Source organism: Homo sapiens, chromosome 20 (assembly GCF_000001405.40).
Source record: "Homo sapiens chromosome 20, GRCh38.p14 Primary Assembly".
Lineage (NCBI taxonomy): Eukaryota > Metazoa > Chordata > Mammalia > Primates > Hominidae > Homo > Homo sapiens.
This window is the reverse complement of record NC_000020.11, coordinates 60,578,857-60,580,978: the sequence shown is the minus strand read 5'-3', so window position 1 is coordinate 60,580,978 and position 2,122 is coordinate 60,578,857. Positions and strand designations below refer to the sequence as shown.

Here is a 2,122-nt window from a genome sequence, read left to right as displayed (position 1 = left end):
GTGCTGCAAGAGTACTAATCCAAGAGATAGAAGCTACTATTTTCATCATTCTCAATTTGCAAGTGAGGAAACTGAGGCATTATACATTTAAGCAATTAGGCCAAGTTCTTAGAGATTTGTAAGCAGTCAGATTCCAAGACAGGCAATTAGAAATCTAAATCCATGATCTCTCCCACCAAATTAGGCTGCCTTGATATAGAGAATGTAATCCCCACTGGGCATTCTATAAGAACACCATTTCACAGGTGTCCCTGGCCCCAGGAGAAGTGGCCACATCCACACTAAGTCATCTGAGTGGCAAAGTGAGGCAGAAGGAGGGTCAAGGTTCCCCTTGGGGTCTCCACGGGTCCCAGGAGGGTGGCAGACATTCAGAAGCGATGCTGTGACACGTGCAGAGTAACCCACCCAGCGAGGAAGTGAAAATGAGCCCCAGCCAGACCCAAAGGGGCCCATGAAGTGGGCCAAGGGAAGGATGGCTAGGCTCTAGGAAGTGGAGCAAAATCAGCTGAGAGTTCTTTGGCTGTAGCCTCAGCAGTCAAAGAGGAGTGGGGACAGGACAGCGGCCTGGCCAAGCACAAGAGACAGCAATTCCCCAGGCAGCCAAGACCCAGGGGTGGCTCAGGACTCACACACACCTTAGCAGTGTCCTCTCCCCACTGCCAGGAGCTCCTGTCCACCCCAGACACCGCCATGGGGGGAGGAAAGCGGAAGGCTCTGAACTCTGAAAACTGAGTGTTCTCATGAGAGGGACGCAGAGGCAGCTAGTTAACTGGGGAGAGCAAAGTGAGTGTTAATTGGAAAGTCCATTTCCTGCTAAGCAGTGGGTGAACAAGTTTAAGTGATTCATATGCAGATGCAAAAGCCTGCACTTCATCACACATCCTGGTTCAGGCTGAGTGGATCATTGACCCTATTGAGGAAGCTGTTTTGAATCTGACAAGGAGCAAGGCACTAAATGGACAAAAAGTATTATCCAGTGGGGGTCTGCTTACTCCATATTTCCTCACTCCACATTTCCTCACTTGGTTCATTTCCTGAACTCAGTGGGTTCAGTGACAAGGGATGATGTTTAGAAGACTCTTCTCTGGGACAGCAAAGAGAGGATCCTCCTGATGCCTGTTTCAGACCTCAAGGCATTGCACAGCCCTCCCACTCCTCTAGCGTACTTTCTGTCCATCTTTGACTTTATAAGCCAAAAATAAAATTGGAGACCTCCTAACCAACAGAATGGGCCCCACTCTTGGCCAAGGGCATTCCAAAGTAAACCTGACAACTAGTTCAGGCCATGATAGAAAGGATGGGTTGGACATGCCTCATTATGCCCTCCTTTCTTTGGAATTCAGGCACAACTGACCAGCATTAACATTAAAAAAGAGATCTTAAGGCTGACAAAACAGACTGTTTGTAGCAATAAAATATCAAATTCCAACCTGACTCTAGTATAGCATCACATGACAGATGGCAGGCCCTAAAAGATATCAAAGTATTTTACCCCAAAATACATTTCTTGGGCATATTTTGAAATGGCCCTGCAAAGCTGTCTCTTGTGGGGAAAATCTACATTCTGTAGAGAATCCTCTTCCCTTTTCAGGTCTTTCTGGGACCAGGAGAGACTTAACTAAGAGTCTGGTACCTTTTAATTCTGATAAGAGACAGTTACCTTCTATTCTATCTGAAGCTGGCTACCCAGAGGCTTCATCTGCATAATAAAAACCTTGATCTCCACAACCCCTTATCTTAACCCAGACACTTCTTTTTTTATTGATTCCAGGTCTTTAGATAATAACTTAACTATTTCAAGCAATTACCAATCAGAAAATCTTTGAATCCACCTATTGTAGCAGGACAAGATACAGACAAAACTCCTCAGACACCGAGTTAAAGAAGGAAGGAGTTTATTCGGCCAGGAGCATCGGCAAGACTCCTGTTTGAAGAGCCGAGCTCCCTGAGTGAGCAATTACTGTCCTTTTTAAGGGCTCACAACTCTAAGGGGGTCTGCGTGAGAGGGTTGTGATTGATTGAGCAAGCGGGGATACGTGACTGGGGGCTGCAAGCACCAGTAATCAGAATGGAACAGGACAGGACAGGGATTTTTACAATGCTTTTCCATACAATGTCTGGA

The 2,122-nt window shown here is 46.3% G+C and overlaps 1 annotated feature.

Annotated features, from left to right (window-relative positions):
- Window positions 953-1,860: an enhancer, noted in NCBI's record as "OCT4-NANOG-H3K27ac-H3K4me1 hESC enhancer chr20:59154177-59155084 (GRCh37/hg19 assembly coordinates)". NCBI's record gives its function as "activates a minimal SCP1, AML or CMV promoter by ChIP-STARR-seq in primed H9 embryonic stem cells {active_cell/tissue: H9 hESC(primed)}" and the evidence as "EXISTENCE:reporter gene assay evidence [ECO:0000049][PMID:30033119]".